Source organism: Homo sapiens, chromosome 13 (assembly GCF_000001405.40).
Source record: "Homo sapiens chromosome 13, GRCh38.p14 Primary Assembly".
NCBI lineage: Eukaryota > Metazoa > Chordata > Mammalia > Primates > Hominidae > Homo > Homo sapiens.
Window position 1 is genome coordinate 22,865,422 of NC_000013.11, and position 18,483 is coordinate 22,883,904.

Consider the following 18,483-nt stretch of genomic DNA (forward strand, 5'->3'; position numbering starts at 1 on the left):
CACCTCACCCAACTAATTTTTTTTTTTTTGTATTTTTAGTAGAGACGGGGTTTCACCATGTTAGCCAGGATGGTCTCGATCTCCTGACCTCGTGATCCACCCGCCTCGGCCTCCCAAAGTGTTGGGATTACAGGCGTGAGCCACCGCTCCCAGCCAAAAAATCTCTTTTAAATGTACTCGTCTGAGCAGCTCATCTTAGCCCTCTGAGAAAGCCAATACACTGTTACAGAAATCAAAACTCTCTCTCCTTTGTTCATGACCTAGGACACCAAGAATCAATCCTGCTTATACATACAGTCGATCAGTTATAGAACTTTGTTTTAGCCTATTTCCCCCTACACACCACACAGGCTTCTGACTCAGTTTTGCTCTGTGTGGAAGAATTTCAATCCAAATCTGTTGGGGTATGGTAGCAAGGCCATGTTTTCCAATTCTTTGGAAGTTGGTGGTAACTAAAATGGAAAAGAGATTCTTAGCACAAGGAAAATTAGAGATTTGATTAGCTATATGAAATTTAGTCAATCAAATATTCCATGGTATGCATTTACCACATTTTCTTCATTCATCCATCAATGGACACTTAGTTTATGTGTATATCTTGGCTACTGTGAATAATGCTACAATCAACATGAAACCCTTTCTTAAAAAAATTAAAAATAGAACGACCATGGGTAATTCTACTCTGCAATCACACTCAGATTACATAACCCAAGAAAACTAGAATCAAGATCTTACACCACTTTTTTTTTAACAAATGGTGATCTCAAGAGAGGAAAAGTTCAGATTCAAACGACTCAAAGAGGTAAATTTGTAGGTAAAAAAAAACTGAGGGCCTCAATATGATAGTTTCTCTTCCTTGTGCTGGTACCGTGTACAGCAGTGTGGCATGCCATATGACAAAGGTGACTGAAAAACAAATTCCAATGCTACAGTGTCCAGGACCTAGCTCATTCTTTATAGTCTGTGATCCACATCACCACCACAAAGTTCATCCCTGCACTTTGAAGGTCCCAACTTATGTAAATTCCACACATCACAGGACAATAAAAACAAGTTATTCTAAATACTTAGAAGGGAGGAAAGAATACAAAGTATGAAAGAAAATATGTTGGCCGGGCGCGGTGGCTCACGCCCGTAATCGCAGCACTTTGGGAGGCTGAGGCGGGCAGATCATGAGGTCAGGAGATCGAGACTATCCTGACTAACATGGTGAAACTCCTTCTCTACTAAAAATACAAAAAATTAGCCAGGCGTGGTGGCGGGCACCTGTAGCCCCAGCTACTCAGGAGGCTGAGGCAGGAGTATGGCGTGAACCCAGGAGGCAGAGCTTGCAGTGAGCAGAGATCGCACCACTGCACTCGAGCCTGGGCGACAGAGCGAGACTCCGTCTCAAAAAAAAAAAAAAAGAAAATATGTTATGCACATTTCTTTCCAGTTATAGCCAGTGACAGCTCTTCTACTGGATCAGCTATCGATTGCCACAACAAAGCTGCATAACAAACAACCACTCAAGCTCAGTGCTCTCTTGGCAGCCACAGAGGAGCTAGAGAGGAAGTGGAAATATGCAAGGGCCTTGTTGAGGCTCTGTTTTTGTCATGTCTGTTAGTATCCCTTTACCAAAGCAATGCACATGGGCAAGGCCAGTGTGAGAATGGGAAGGCACTGCAAAGTCACGTGACTGAGGGCAACAGGCAGAAAGGAATGATCAGATGCTTAACGTGTTACTATATTTCAGTTATTGAATACTCATTTGATTATTGTTTTTAGATTCAATCTCTTAATGATGTTTTCCACCTTGGCATCTATCTTCCTGAATATACTAATCACTATTATGTCAGTCTGCCTCTGTTAACTTCAATTTCTGGATCAACTCTGCATCTGTTTCTATTATCTGTTTTTTCTTGGTCTTATACCTTAGAATGCCTAATAGTTTTCTGGTTCTTTCTTTAATTTAATAACTGATGTTGTGGATGAAAAAATATCAATTCATTAGAGAGCATTATCTTCTTTTAGAATGAATTTTTGAGGCATCTGGCAGGGCAGTTATGTTAAGGGAAATTTCCATCATCTTAACACAATGAGGCATGGGGCTGGTTTGAGATTGGATTTCAGTCTTTCTAAGTCCTAATATAATTCTTATTTCCCCTGACTCCTATGGTGTTGTCCTTCTGGCAGCACAACTAAAGTTGAGGGTAATTACCAGTGAACTTCAGAATCCAAAATTCCAATGTTCACCTTTTCAGCACTCATGAGACAGCTAATAGTTCAGCTGAAATTTTCTGACTTTTTTCACTTGGCATCATTCCCTAGAATGATGTTCCATAGAAATTGTTGTGTACATCATTGTTCATTTCTTTGTATTACTGAGTAGTATTCCATGTTATGGGTGCATCATAGTTTGTGTAACCATTCACCTATTGAAGGACATTTTGACTGTTTCCAATATTTGGCTATTTCACATAAAGTTACTATGAATGCTTGTGTACAATTTTTAGTGTGGACATAAGTTGTTATTTCTCTTGGATGAATACCCAGGAATGCAACTGCTGAGTTGTGTAGTAAGTGCATATTTAGTTTTATCAGAAACTGCTGAATGATTTTCCAGAGTGGCTGTGTCATTTTTAACTTCCACCAGCAACATCTGAGTAATCCAGTTTTTCTGCATCCTCACCAGTACCTGGTGTCATCAACATTTTTTATTTTAGTCATGCTGATAGGTATATAGTGACATCTCATTGTGATTTTACTTTTGTATTTCTCTAATGGCTGTTAGATAACTTTTTGTGTGCTATTAATCATCTATATATCTTCATCAGCGAAATATCTGTGCATTTCTTTTGCCCATTTCCCAATTGGATTCTTTATGTTTTACTGCTTATTTTGAGGCTTCTTTATATATTCTAAATACTAGTCTTTTGCCAGATACGTGAGTTGAAAATATTATATTACTGTCTGTAGCTTATCTTTTCATTCTCTTTACAGGGTTTTAATTTGATAATGATCAAGGATTTTGACTCCTAGGTAATTCCTCAAGAAGCTACATATCTAATAGAACCTAATTCTACATTTGCTAGGGGACACATGAAAGAGTGTTCCAAGCAGAACCGTTCACAGTACAAAAACCCTAGAGATAATATGTCCACTGACACAAGTAAATGAGTAAGTGCTAAGATATTCACAGAAAGGAATCGTATAAAGGAATCAAAGGGAATAACCAACCATGTGGTTGAATTTTAGAAATAAACTATTATATTTCTAAATATAATATAATATATATTATATTTCTAAATATAATATAATATATATTATATTTCTAAATATAATATAATATATATTATATTTCTAAATATAATATAATATATATTATATTTCTAAATATAATATAATATATATTATATTTCTAAATATAATATAATATATATTATATTTCTAAATAGTATATTTAGAAATATACTATTGAGTGGGGAAAGAAGATTGCTTAGTATATGTTTTCTATAAAGTTAGAAATAAAATATATTGGCAAAATTATAGAAGCAACAAAAATACATAAATAAAAATGGGTTAATTAACAAAGTGGTGGGATGACTGTTACTTTTGGTGGGAAGAAGAGAAGGTTTTGAAATGTAGGGGGACTATAAAGCTAAATGTAAATTATGGCCAGGTTAAAGCAATGAGTAGTAGACTCACAGGTGCTTCTTACCTTAACAAGTAAGCAGTCTGTTGAAAAAAACAAAAAAATTAAGTAAACCAGCACACTAAATTCAGTGTGTTGTGAACATGAGTCACATTCAAAAATTTTTAAGGGGAAGAAATAGCAAATACATGATTTCAGTTTTATGTGGCATTAGTTTATTATGAGATGGATGAATGGATGGATGGATGGATGGATGGATGGACGGAGGACAAAATGGAAAGATTTTAGTGTATCAGTTACTATTTATTGCCTACCTGACATTCAAAGCTGCTTCTTTCTTTCTGACATGATATTGATTTTTTTTTTAGGTATCCACCCTCCTTTATTTAACTCATGCTTGCTTCACAGATTCTAAAAGGCAGGTTTGGATTCCTTTTATGTGTTCATAAGGGCCCCACTCCCTTTGCAGCTAATTGATGTAGACAAGCAATTAAGTGGTTCTTGCTAAACAGATTTGAATGTTACTCTACTAAGAATCTTCTGAAAATGTATCTTCATTCTTTTTTTTTTTTTTTTTTTTTTTTTTTTTGAGACAGAGTCTTGCTCTATCGCCCAGGCTGGAGTGCAGTGGCACAATCTCCACTCACTGCAAGCTCCGCCTCCCGGGTTCACACCATTCTCCTGCCTCAGCCTCCCAAGTAGCTGGGACTACAGGTGACTGCCACCACACCCGGCTAATTTTTTTGTGTGTGTTTTTAGTAGAGATGGGGTTTACCATGTTAGCCAGGATGGTCTTGATCTCCTGACCTCATGATCCGCCTGCCTTGGCCTCCCAAAGTGCTGGGATTACAGACGTGAGCCACTGTACCTGGCCCCCAGTATCTTCATTCTTAAGAAGGTACATTATTTTATTTTTTGCCTATCAATGCTTCCTAGCCTGGAGGATATGAAAATATATCTAAATCAACTGCAAGGACCATGCCACCTTTAGAGAGTGATCTAGAAGATCAAGCCCACACATTGAGTTTGGCAGAGAAGAAAGAGGGCCTTAGCCTTACTGAACTGCTGGACTTAAAAAACCTTGGACCTAACCTGCCTTTGCACTTATTTTGACATTTACTTTCCTATTAATCCAGTTGATTTTTTTTAACTTACAATGTAGATATATAGATGATACATAAATCACTTTAAATGACAGGTTAGAAAACATTTACTTCAAGTAGCCATATTATATGGTGAATACTGTCAAAAGATTCAAAATCATTATGTGATGGGCCTGGCCAAGACAATGGTATGCATCAGGGATCTGGAAGAACCAGCACATTCAAATTGGGCAGGCTGAGACCAGCTTACAAAGGTCTGGGTAGGATGCAGGGAATTCCCAAGTGATATGGTTCGGCTGTGTCCTCACCCAAATCTTATCTTGCATTGTAGCTCTCATAATCCCTGTGTGTCATGGGAGGGACCCAGTGGGAGGTATCTGAATCATGGGGGCAGGTTTTTCCCATGTCGTTCTCATGATAGTGAATGTCTCACTAGATTGGATGGTTTTATAAAGGGCAGTTCCCCTACACATGGTCTCTTGCCTGCCGCCGTGTAAGACATACCTTTGTTCCTCCTTCACCTTCCTCCATGATTATGAGGCTTCCCCCGCCATGTGGAACTGTGATTCCATTAAACCTCTTTTTCTTTATAAATTACCCAGTCTCGAGGTATGTCTTAATGCAGTGTGAGAATGAACTAATATAGTAAACTGGTACCAGTAGAGTGTGGTGCCGCTGTAAAGATACCCAAAATGTGGAAGTGAATTTGGAACTAGGTAACAGGCAGAGGGTGGAATAGTTTGGAGGGCTCAGAAGAAGAAAGGAAAATGTGGGAAAGTTTGGAACTTCCTAGAGACTGTTGAATGGCTTTGACCAAAATGTTGATAGTGATATGCACAATAAAGTCCAGGCTGAGGTGGTCTCAGATGGAGATGAGGAACTTGTTGGGAACTGGAGTAAAGGTCACTCTTGCTATGCAAAGAGACTGGTGACATTTTGCCCCTGCCCTAGAGATCTGTGGAACTTTGAACTTGAGAGAGATGATTTAAAGTATCTGGTAGAAGAAATTTCAAAGTGGCAAAGTGTTCAAGATGAAGCAGAGCTTAAAAGTTTGAAAAATTTGCAGCCTGACAATGCAGCACAAAAGCAAAACCCATTTTCTGAGGATAAATTCAAGCCAGCTGCAGAAATTTGCATAAGTAACAAGGAGCCAAATGCTAATCACCAAGACAATGGGGAAAATATTTCCAGGGCAAGTCAGAGACCTTTGCAACAGCCCCTACCATCACAGGCCCAGAGGCCTGGGAGGGAAAATGGTTTCCTGGGCTGGGTCCAGGGCCCGCCTGCTGTGTGCAGCCTTTAGACTTGGTGCCCTGCATCCCAGCTGCTCCAGCCATGGCTAAAAGGGCCAAGGTACAGCCCAGGCCGTGGATTCAGAGGGTGCAAGCCCTAAGCTTTGGCAGCTTCCACATGGTGTGTTGAGCCTGTAGGTGCATAGCAGTCAAGAATTGAAGTTTGGAAACCTCTGCCTAGATTTCAGAGGATGTATGGAAATGCCTGGATGTCCAGACAGAGGTGTGCTGCAGGGGCAGAGCCTTCATGGAGAACCTCTGCTAGGGCAGTGTGGAAGGGAAATGTGGGGTGGAAGCCCCTATACAGAGTCTCCATTGGGCACTGCCTAGTGGAGCTGTGAGAAGAGGGCCACTGTCCTCCAGACCCCAGAATGGTCGATCCACTGACAGTTTGCACCATGAACCTGGAAAAGCCACAGCCACTCAATGCCAGCCCGCGAAAGCAGCTGGGAGGGGAGCTGTGCCCTGCAAAGTCACAAGGATGGAGCTACCCAAGACCATGGGAACCCACCTCTTGCATCAATGTGACCTGGATGTGAGACATGGAGTCAAAAGAGATCATTTTGGAGCTTTAAGATTTGACTGCCCTGCTGGATTTTAGACTTGCATGGGGCCTGGAGCCCCTTTGTTTTGGCCAATTTCTCTTATTTGGAATGGGAATATTTATTCAATGCCTGTACCCCCATTGTATATAGAAAATAACTAACTTGCTTTTGATTTTACAGACTCATAGGCGAAAGGGACTTGCCTTGTCTCAGATGAGACTTTGGACTTGGACTTTTGGGTTAATGTTGAAATGAGTTAAGACATTGGAGGACTGTTGGGAAGGCATGATTGTATTTTGAAATGTGAGGACATGACATTTGGGAGGGGCCCAGGGAAGAATGATATGGTTTGGCTATGCCCTTCCCCCAAAATCTCATCTTGAATTGCAGCTCCCATAATCCCCATGTGTCATGGGAGGGATTCAGTGGGAAGTAATTGAATCATGCGGGCGGGTTTTTCCCATGCTGTTCTCATGATAGTGAATAAGTCTCATGAGATCTGATGGTTTTATAAAGGGCAATTCCCCTGCACATGCTCTCTGTCTTGCCACCATGTAAGATGTGCCTTTGATCCTCCTTCACCTTCCTCCATGATTGTGAGGTCTCCCCAGCCATATGTAACAGTGAGTCCATTAAACCTCTTTTTCTTTATACATTACCCAGTCTCAGATATATCTTTATTAGCAGCCTAAGAATGGACTAATACACCAAGAGAGAGTATAATGCCCCAGGGCCAGGGCCACTGTGACCTGTGGTAACAATGGATGGGCACAGTTACTGGGACCTGGAGCACAGAACATGTGTCAAGATGCCAGTTGTCAGGAGCTGTGTGGCAGTTATCTATTCCACAATAAAACTGGGGATATCAATATCCACAAGATATCAATAAAATTGATTATCTCACAGTTTCTGTGGTTCAGGAATCTGAGAAGGGCTTACCTGGAGGCCTCTGGCTCAGTCTCTCAAAAGCTGCCATCAAGTCACAGGCCAGGGTCATCTCAAGGCTCACCTGGGGAAGGATCCTCTTCTAAGCTCACACATGTGGTTGCTGGTATTTGGAAATGGAGTCCTTGGAGGTTATAGGTTTAGGCGAGGTCATGAGGGTGGGACCCTCATGAATGGGGTTAGTGTCCTTATAAAAAGGAATACCAGCAAATTCTCTCTCTTTTTCCCATGTGAGGACACAGCAAGAAAGCAGACATCTGCAAATCAGGGAGACAGCCCTCAGCAGACACAAGACCTGTTGACGCCTTAATCTTGGACTTCCCAGCCTTCAGAACTGTGGAAAATAAATGTTTGTGGTTTAAGCCACCCAGTCTATGATGTTTTGTTATAGCAGCCTGAATTGACTAAGACAGATACCTTGAAAACCACCATCCCCTGCTGAGCAATATTGTTCTGCTCCTTAGGCTGATTTCAGTTTTCTTTCACTTAGCATTTCATAACTTTAATTTGCTTGTTAAAAAATTTATCTGGATCTTTTATTCCCTTTATCCTAAACTTCAAACCACCCACTTTCTTTTGCAAGTTTTCTGTTTGACACCATTCACTTCCTTTTCTTTCTCCTTCATTCATTTCTCCCTTTCTCCCTCTTTCCCTCCCTCCCTCCATTCCTTTTGTCCTTTCTTCCTTCCTTTCTTCTTTCTTCCTTTATTTTTTTCATCTGACTCTTTCCCTGGCAATTGTCCTTGGCTCCTTCGTTTACAGTAGTCACTCTTGATGGTGAGCATTTTGAATCTCCAAATGACTATGAAATCTTTTTATTTCTCATTAGCGCATGCAGGTAGTACATGTGTTTCAGTAAAATTGAGGAAGCCTGGCAGACACTCTGTGGTCTCTGCTGCATTTTCTCTGGAATAGCTACAGCTCTGTGTAGCAATATGGTTAAGGCACCATATTGTGTGAAGGCCCACCTAGCCTGGGCATCACTGTATCTCTGTCTTCCTAACAAAATGAAGTGGAAATTTCAAAAAAATCAGGAGATGGAACAAAAGTTTTCTCATGTTTTTTACTGCTTATTAAATGAACAACGAACAATAATCCAATGTTAAATGTAAAGTTTTCAGCCCTCTGCCTGAATAGGCTCACCTAGTTATTTGAACATGCCTCACTCCAAATCTTGTCCTCAGCAACTGTGGATAAATCATGACAGAGAAGTTCCCCTAACCTACAGCAGAGGCTCCTCAAGCTATGCCACCCTACTGATATAGAAGTGGAGAAAGAGTGCTGGGCGTGGTGGCTCACGCCTGTAATCCCAACACTTTGGGAGTCTGAGGCAGCGGCTCACGAGGTCAGGAAATCGAGACCATCCTGGCTAACACTGTGAAACCCGGTCTCTAATAAAAATACAAAAAATTAGCCGGGCGTGGTGGTGGGCGCTTGTAGTCCCAGCTACTTGGGAGGCTGAGGCAGGAGAATGGAGCGAACCCGGGAGGCGGAGCTTGCAGTGAGCCGAGATTGTGCCGCTGCACTCCAGCCTGGGCGACAGAGCGAGAGTCCGTCTCAAAAAAAAAAAAAAAAAAAAAAAAAGAAAGAGAAAAAGAAAAAAAAATAATGGAGAAAGAGGTGTTCTGGCCCATTTAGTTACATTTTCCAGGGCAAAAATCACGGATACATGGTGAAATTCAACTATATTCTCTGCCCAAGATAAAATCCAATTACAGCCTCTGCTCAATGAGGAAATCCCATCACAGGTTCCTTTTGCTTCACTAGGAGACAAAGAGACAAGTTTGTTTATAATCTATTTATAGAGGCATACACACCTTAAAAAAAAGTGGTCCTCAAGTAGGAGATTTGCATTTGTTGGTCATTTTATTTCTGGGCAGATGTTCAGTCTTTCTAACTTGAAAAGTGTCTAGCAACTTTGGCTGACCTTATTAAGATTAATGGTCATAATGTATTTAAATCCCCTGTTGTTCTAAGAAGGATTAAACAAAAGTTATGGGAGGCCCTTGTTTTAGACTGAGCTATTACAAATTGGGCCACAAGAGACCAGACTAAACCAAAATGGAGTCACTCATGCTAAATACCATATAATTAAACTGGAACTCTAAGGAAACAGGTAGATCCCACATCAGACTTGTTTTTCCTGAAATCAGGGGATACAAGTCTGAGTCAGTATACTAAAAAAGTCCCCTCTGCTTTAACGCTTATGAACAAAGTAACCTGCAGGAACCTGAAGTTAACCAGTCAGCTTTTGTTCTATTGTTCTACTTCCTTGTTCTCAGTATGACCTCTCATTCTATTTTGTAGTATGGAGGCATCTCTGATTAACAAATCATGAGAAGAAAGCCAATTAGATAACCAAATAATTATTATCTCTTACTGAAATAACTCCCAAGGACCTTTGGCAAGATCTAGCACTAACCAAATTTTCCCAGAAAAAAATTTTGGGAAAGGACTATTTGTGGATTGTAAACCACTACTAGGGCAGATCCCAACTGATTAGAGATGGATTTTGAGGATGCACTCAAGAAAAAGAAGCACAAGTTAAAGTAGTACCTGTCACCTGTGCTTTTTCCAAAGAAGGTTTTGTGAACTTCAATATTTAAACAGGAAAGAGTAAGAAGGAGTGGAAGAAACAAAAGGAGGGAGGGTAGGCATTGATGCAAGTGGTGAGGCATTGATTAGCACTCAGTGAATCTATATTTTACACATGCAAAGAAGGGCGTAGAGGAAAAAGTCAATTATGCATTCATTTCATGCTCAGTAAATCTATATTTTCCGTAAGATAAAGCAAGCATGTGAAATCATGGTTCTTTCTGTTTGGGAACAAAAAGAAGGCAGTTTTATGCGTGACTCAGTTCCCACTCTTAACTTTTCGCTTTGGCATAGTGAGACGGGAGTCCTAAGACGTTATTTATTTATTTATTTATTTATTTATTTATTGACGGAGTTTCACTCTGTCGCCCAGGATGGAGTGCAGTGGTGCCATCCCTGCTCACTGCAACCTCTGCCTCCCAGGTTCAAGCGATTCTGTTGCCTCAGCCTCCTAAGTAGCTGGGACTACAGGCACCTGCCACCACACAGGCTAATTTTTGTTTTTTCAGTAGAGACAAGGTTTTACCATGTTGGCCAGGCTGGTCTTGAACTCCTGACCTCAAGTGATCTGCCCACCTCGGCCTCCCAAAGTGCTGGGATTACAGGCTTGAGCCACCGCCCCTGGCCCAGCCAAGGATTTATTTGTGCCTGCAGATAGCTGTATGAACAGACACCTGTAAGAATTGGGGGAATTCCTCTCTTCTCAATGTTCCAAAGTAACTTGAGGTTCCGGGCCATTCAAAGGTGAAATTTTTTACTCACCACAGGTCAGGAGCTTTGTAAAGGAATTGCATGCAGAGGGTACCATGCCAGTTTTTCCAAGGGGTTTTTCTCAGCCCTTAAAGTCAATTTTAATTCCTCAAAGCAGTCTGGTTATTTCTGAAAAAATGTCATTCCAGTCAAAGACTTGATAAAATATCCAACGTCTCCAATTGGGTTCTGTTACAAGAGAAAACAGATTCTTATTGAACTTATGCAAATAATTATATTGCCATAAATTAAGGATTGTCAAAAATAGTTTCCAAATTCGGCTGGGCGCAGTGGCTCATGCCTGTAATCCCAGCACTTTGGGGAGGCCGAGGAGGGCGGATCATGAGGTCAGGAGATCGAGACCATCCTGGCTAACACAGAGAAACCCCGTCTCTACTAAAAATACAAAAAAATTAGCCGGGCGTGGTGGCGGGGGCCTGTAGTCCCAGCTACTTGGGAGGCTGAGGCAGGAAAATGGCGTAAACCCGGGAGGCAGAGCTTGCAGTGAGCGGAGATCGTGCCACTGCACTTCAGCCTGGGTGACAGAGTCAGAGTCCATCTCAAAAAAAAAAAAAAAAAAAAAAAGTTTCCAAATTCTGGAGAAATCAGGTAAAAGAAAAAGAAACGTGGCTGGGCGCTGTGGCTCACACCTGTAATCCCAGCACTTTGGGAGGTTGAGGCAGGTGGATCACAAGGTCAGGAGATCGAGACCATCCTGGCTAACATGGTGAAACCCTGTTTCTACTAAAAATACAAAAAAATTAGCTGGGTGTGGTGGCGGGTGCTTGTAGTCCCAGCTACTCAGCAGGCTGAGGCAGGAAAATGGTGAACCCGGGAGGTGGAGCTTGCAGTGAGCTGAGATCGCACCACTGCACTCCAGCCTGGGTAACAGAGCAAGACTCCGTCTCAAAAAAGAAAATAAAAGAAGAAAAAGAAAAAGAAACGTGTTTCAGATTCTGGTCATAAGAGTATACTTTACTCAATTGTTAAAAATTATAAATAGATCAAAAGAAAAAAGCTATCTTTTTAAAGTAATTTCTATTTTTATTTTAGATTCAGGGGGTATATGCACAGGTTTGCTACCTGGGTATATTGCATGGTGCTGAGGTTTTGGGTACAAATGTTCCCATCACCCAGGTAGTGAATATAATACTCAGTAGTTTTCAACCTATGCGTCCTCCTTCCCTCCTACCTCTAGTAGTCCCCAGTGCATATCATTGCCATCTTTATGTCCATGAGCTCCCAAATGTTTAGCTCCCACTTGTAAATGAGAACATGTGGTATTCAGTTTCCTATTCCTGCATTAATTCACTTAGGATAGTGGCTGCATCCATGTTGCCGCAAAGAACATGATTTCATTTTTTATGGCTGCATAGTACTCCATGGTGTATATGTACCACGTTTTCTTTATCCAATCCACTATTGATGGACGCCTAGGTTGATTTCATGTCTAAAAGTTTTCTTGACTGAAAAAAAAAATCAACAATGCTTCAAACAAAAAGGGTTATAAAATATATTTCAGTCCTCTGTTAGTTCAGTTCTATGAAATTAATTCATTTCATTTGATATTGGGATTAGTAATCCTCATGAACACAGTAGCTCTACAATGAGAGTTCTGGAAGTTTGTTTCTCTACTCTACTGATGAAATCTCCAAGGTTGTCAGAAACTTACATTTGAAGCACCCATCAGAATCCTTTCTGTGAACTACCCTAAAGAAGCAAGTTTTGGACTATAGCTGATTATTAACTGCTTTTTGAGAAGAATCAAATAAAATAATAATTGTCTGTGGATGACAAAAGTTTTAGGACAGCCATGGTTAAAGATAAGGAAATTTGGTTATTTCTGTGTCATACTAAAATTTAACTTAATAATACTTATTTTGATTATTATGATTATCAGACAAATCAGAACTATAGGATCTCATTGTGCCACGGCATTCCGCCTGGGTGACAGAATGAGACTCTTTCTCAAAAAAAAAAAAATTATAAGATCTCATACAATTTTGGAACACATGTTAATAACACACTTATGTAAGTAGAACCCAAAGAAACTTAAAAACCATTTCATATTTGAATGTTTCCTATATGATTTTAACATATCGAATAAGCCAAATGTGTTTCTTTTAGACTTCAGGGGACCTATTATCTAAAAAAGCTAATGAAGTAAAAAAAATACTGAATTACAATTGAAATTTTAATGTTTGAAAGTTTCTCAAATGTCAAATGTTTAAAACACTCTACACCGCAAGATAGAATTACAGGTCACTATAAAATAAATTATTCACTTAGCCACAATCATAATTCAAAGACTTTAAAAATCATTCACTTTTTGATAGAGCAGAGACTCAGTTTCCCAAACAATATGACCTAATAAAGATCGAATGAGGCGAACTGAATATCTCCCTCTCTCCCTCTTTATTTTATAGTTTACTCAAGAGGTAAACAAAAATCTTTCTTTATCAAAATAGAAAACCAGCCGGGCGCGATGGCTCACGCCTATAATCCCAGCACTTTGGGAGGCTGAAGCAGGTGGATCACTTGAGTTCGGGAGTTCGAGACCAGCCTGGCCAACATGGCAAAATCCTGTCTCTACTAAAAATATAAAAATTAGGCAGACATGGTGGCAGGCGCCTGTAATCCCAGCTACTCTGGAGGCTGAGGCAGGAGAATCGCTTGAACCTGGCGGAGGTTTCAGTGAGCCCAGATCAGGCCACTGCACTCCAGCCTGGGTGACAAGAGCGAAACTCTGTGTCAAAAAAAAAAAGAGAGAGAGAAAACCAAATTTTACTTTTACATTAGTGTAGCATTAACACTAAAGATAATTTTTTTTTTTAAATTTAGAGACAGGGTCTCGCTATGTTGCCTAGGCTGGAGGGCAGTGGCTATTCACAGGCCCATCCCATTACTGATCAGCACGAATTTTGCCCTGCCCCATTTCCGACCTAGGCCAGTTCACCCCTCTGTTGGCAACCTGGTAGTCCCCTGCTCCCAGGAGGTCACCATGCTAAAACTAATTTTTAATGAAACCTTATAAACAAATTCATCCAATCTTAATAAGTTTGATCATAAGGTAAGATTTCCATAAACCTCTCATAGCCTGTTATAGTTTTCTATTAAAGAACAGATTAATGCTCCAAGGAAACCATTGTTGTCACACAGGAGCCCAGACTGTGGCATCAGTGTGCTTTTGATATTAATCCTGAATTTATAGAAAAACTAAATAATATCTTTTAAATTTTAGCCAACTTGATCACACACAGAATTCCTTTTACAAGATCTGTCTTCCACAAACCTTCTTCAATTTCCTAACACCTTTAGCCTTATCCTATCATTCTGCCTTAGCACAAAAATTTACTTTCTTTTCAACTTTCTATATCCGTTTAGTTTTTAGTTTTATTCATCTTTTTTCCTCTTTTAATTTAAGAAAACCTCTAGACTAGGCAAAATTACTTCCCCTTTAAGAGAAAACATATTTCCATGCCTTCTCATAAGCTTTTTACCAAAACGTATCTACTTTTCTAAGTTTGCATATTAAATTGTTTCTTTTATATCTAGTAGTTTTCACTACATACATTGATTATGTTAACTGTTAGTAACTCTTATTTTTAGTGAAAAACTTAGGAAGTAATTTTTACTGTGTACTAGATGCAGAGTCCAGAACAAAGGACAATGCCTGGAAATAGGGCTTGTTATATTTTAGAGGCTCAAATCTAAAACCATAAGTTTATTTAAGAGTTATGTATCAAAAATTACATAAAAGCAAGTTTTGACCTTAAAACATCTAGCAGATATAGTATCAAACCAGTAGACCAATAGTCTCAGACAAAATGTCTAAATTCTGAAGATGTTTCCATTTTATTTTACCAATAATTTTAAAACTGTCTTTATTTACTAAAGATTATTAAAGTCACATGAACTAAAAGGCATTTAAGTTTCTATTTTTATGATAAAATATTTGATTTAACACATTTTCATTAAGCCAATTAGAGTGCTTTCATATTGAAGGAAGACCCTCTCATATTATTTTATATTGTTTTATACTCAGTACCTGTTTTAAGAAAAAACAACAAGGAAGTAAAACCAAAGACAGGCAGCCCAGCGCCAGGCCCGAAACCAGGCCTGGGCCTGACTGGCCTAAACCCAGTAGTTAAAAATCAACTCATAACTTAGAAACCGATGTTATTCATAGATTCCAGACATTGTATAGAAGAACACTGTGCAACTCCCTGCCCTGTTCTGTTTCTTTCTGACCACCGGTGCATGCAGCCCCTGTCATGTACCCCCTGCTTGCTCAAATCAATCACGACCCTTTCATGTGAAATCTTTAGTGTTTTGAGCCCTTAAAAGGGATAGAAATTGTGCACTCGGGGAGCTCGGATTTTAAGGCAGTAGCTTGCCGATGCTCCCAGCTGAATAAAGCCCTTCCTTCTACAACTCGGTGTCTGAGAGGGTTTGTCTGTGGCTCGTCCTGCTACAATATATTTTGGTAGTGAAACATCACATACACATACAACATATAAATAAATAGATAAACAGAAACATAGAAGCAGTTCTTACAGATGTATAAGATTTTTCATCCATCAGTTTTAAATAGTTCGGTTTTTTTAATTCATCCTACAATGACCTGTTTTACTGCCCTAGGCAATTGTTAGCTAGGCAACCCTAAATTTGCATTTCTAAAGGAGAAAATTTGCATCTCAAAGTATAGAAAGAGACTGGGAATTTAAGCTTTTTTTAAAAAAAAGAAATTTGGCTGTGCTAGAGGACAATTTGAAAATTAATGCCAGGGTAATACAAAATTATATAAATGTATTAAAAGATTTTATAAGGAGATCAATTTCCTTTACATAGGTCTCTACCTTTTAACTGGACCGCTGAACTTAGGACAGAGCCCACACTGAATTTTAGGTCTGCAAAAAGAGACATGCCATGGGGACGGGACCATACAATGTTTTCACAGTGCATTTCATCACAAAGACATTCCCCTTGGGCAACCCAACACCAATCAGCCCATTCTGTGATCTGCCCATTCCCTAGCCATTATACACACCAGAGTCAAGTTTTTCAAAATACAAAATAATTTCTGTTACCACCCCGCCCCTCAACCAAAAAGATCAGGTAATGCAATACAAAAGAGAGTAGAGTTTTAGATACGAGAATACTCTGTTGCAGAAGGTAGTCAGGCAGACATGAGCAGGGCAGGAGAAGGGCCCCCCACCAGGATTGTCAGGCAACCATCAAGTGATGGTCAGGCAGTTGTTAAACAGTCGCTCTAAAATAATAATTGGTTGCAGCTGGCGCCAGGGAACGACAATCTCCCAATAAATAGAAACACCTGTAACTAGTGATCAGCAGCTTCCAAATAAGATCTCAGAAGTTAGGTGTGTGAAGGAAAAATATCTTGGGTCCCTTCAAGATGTGAACCGCTCAGGGAAATCTGCCTCCTATTCTGTTCAAGTCATCCATTTGCTCACAGAGACAGATGCATATTCTGATTGCCTCCTTTGGAAAGACTTATCAGAAACTCAAAAGAATGCAACCATCTGTCTCTCACCTACCTGTGACCTGGAAGCCCCCAGTAGGGGGGCCTTGCTTTGAGCTGTCACCGCCTTTCTGGACGGAACTAATGTACTTCTTATATATTGATTGATGTCTCATGTCTCCCTAAAATGTATAAAACCAAGCTGTGGCCGGACCACCTTGGGCACATGTCATCAGGACTTCCTGAGGCTGTGTGGTGGGCGCGGCCTCAACTGTGGCAAACAAGCTTTCCAAGTTAACCGAGACCACTCTCCTAAGGCCTTGCTTTTTTTTTGAGCAAAAGTTTGCTTTTGTATTCTTCTCAGTTGACTGAATTCTGTTTTCACCTGATGTTTTGACTAAAATAGTATTGCAACAGAAGCTACTCTTGGATTTTTAAAGAAGAATGTAGTTTAGACACTCAAAAATGTCTTTAAAAAAAAAAGTACACTGTAAAAGCATCTCCCTCTAGCACTACCAGACGTTTTTTTCTGTACCTTATGATGTAAATTTTGCTATTTGATTTTCACCTGAGTTGTTTCCTTTAATGTGCAAATTTAAGGCTATTTAGCTGACAACTGCCTAGGGCTGTGAAACCAGTTATCTGGAATCTGAAAGTCTAAGACAGAAAAAATGCAAAATGCAGGGGTCTTTTGTCGTTTTTTTGTTTTTGGTTTTTTTTTTTTGAGACAAAGTTTCACTCTTGTTACCCAGGCTAAAATGCAATAGCACCATCTCGGCTCACCACAACCTCCTGGGTTCAAGTGATTCTCCTGCCTCAGCCTCCTGAGTAGCTGGGATTACCAGCATGTGCCACCATGCCCAGCTTTTTTTTTTTTTTTTTTTTGTATTTTTAGTAGAGACAGGGTTTCTCCATGCTGGTCAGGCTTGTCTCCAACTCCTACCTCAGGTGATCCACCTGCCTCGGCCTCCCAGAGTGCTGGGATTACAGTCATGAGCCACCACACCCGACTGGGTCTTTATAAATCTATAAAATGTACTTCCATCTGTATGCCTAATACGTCTTTTTGTGTATTTATGTGTTGTATACAAAATGTTTCACTACTAAAAAGAGCTCTAGTTAATTGACATAAAAATAAAAGTGCTTAAATCAAATACTAAAAAATGACTAGTCAAATGCTTTTTCAAGTTTATGTAACAAATAAAATCTTTAATAAATAAGCTAGCTTTAAAATTATTGGCAAAGTAATATTAGAAATGTGTTAAGAATTGCCAGCAGACATTTTTGTTTGTATTTGTTAATCAAGCAATTTCATACTTACCCCCACCAAATACTATAAGGTGTCAAAATTTGGCATAAGGGTTATAAAACCCAACCCAAATCAGAATGATCTTTGCTTGTGTAATTTTTAATAAATAGGACATTGACATGGGTATAATGAAAATAGCTGCATCTTGAATTTAGCAAGATTACTATAACTTCTAATCCTGCGGCTGTAGGCAGTCTAATTCACAGACAATGGGAAGGTTTGTTGGGAAAGGGCTGTTATCATCTTTGTTTCATAGCTAAATTGTAAACTAAGTTCCTCCCAAAGTTAGTTCGGTCTATGCCCAGGAATGAACAAGGACAGCTTGGAGGTTAAGAGCAAGATGGAGTCAATTAGGTCAAATCTTTTTTTTTTTTTTGAGATGGAGTTTTGCTCTTGTTGCCCAGGCAGGAGGGCAATGGCACCATCTCGGCTCACCGCAACCTCCACCTCCAGGTTCAAGCAATTCTCCTGCCTCAGCCTGCCTGAGGGAAGAAAGAGACCCTCTCATATTGCTTTATACTCAGTAGCTATTTAAATAAAAAAATAAGGAAGTGAAATCAAAGACAGGCAGCCCAGCCCCAGGTCTGAAACCAGGCCTGGGCCTGCCTGGCCTAAACCCATTAGTTAAAAATCAACTCATAACTTAGAAACCGATGTTATTCATAGATTCCCGACATTGTATAAAAGAACATTGTGAAACGCCCTACCCTGTTCTGTTTCTTTCTGACCACCGGTGCATGCAGCCCCTGTCATGTACCCCCTGCTTGCTCAAATCAATCACGACCCTTTCATGTGAAATCTTCAGTGTTGTGAGCCCTTAAAAGGGAC

At 39.9% G+C, this 18,483-nt stretch overlaps 1 long non-coding RNA gene across 1 annotated transcript in view, besides 1 other annotated feature; it reads right to left on the reverse strand.

Annotated features, from left to right (window-relative positions):
• Positions 1–10,970: 10,970 nt before the first annotated feature.
• Positions 10,971–18,483, reverse strand: part of LINC00621 (long intergenic non-protein coding RNA 621) — a 39,978-nt gene continuing 32,465 nt past the window's right edge. The window contains exon 3 of the long non-coding RNA NR_138043.1: positions 10,971–11,053. This is a non-coding gene — a long non-coding RNA (long intergenic non-protein coding RNA 621). The remainder of the gene's footprint in view (positions 11,054–18,483) is intronic.
• Positions 18,272–18,321: an enhancer, noted in NCBI's record as "active region_7448". NCBI's record gives its function as "activates an Ori minimal core promoter by ATAC-STARR-seq in GM12878 lymphoblastoid cells {active_cell/tissue: GM12878}" and the evidence as "EXISTENCE:reporter gene assay evidence [ECO:0000049][PMID:35858748]".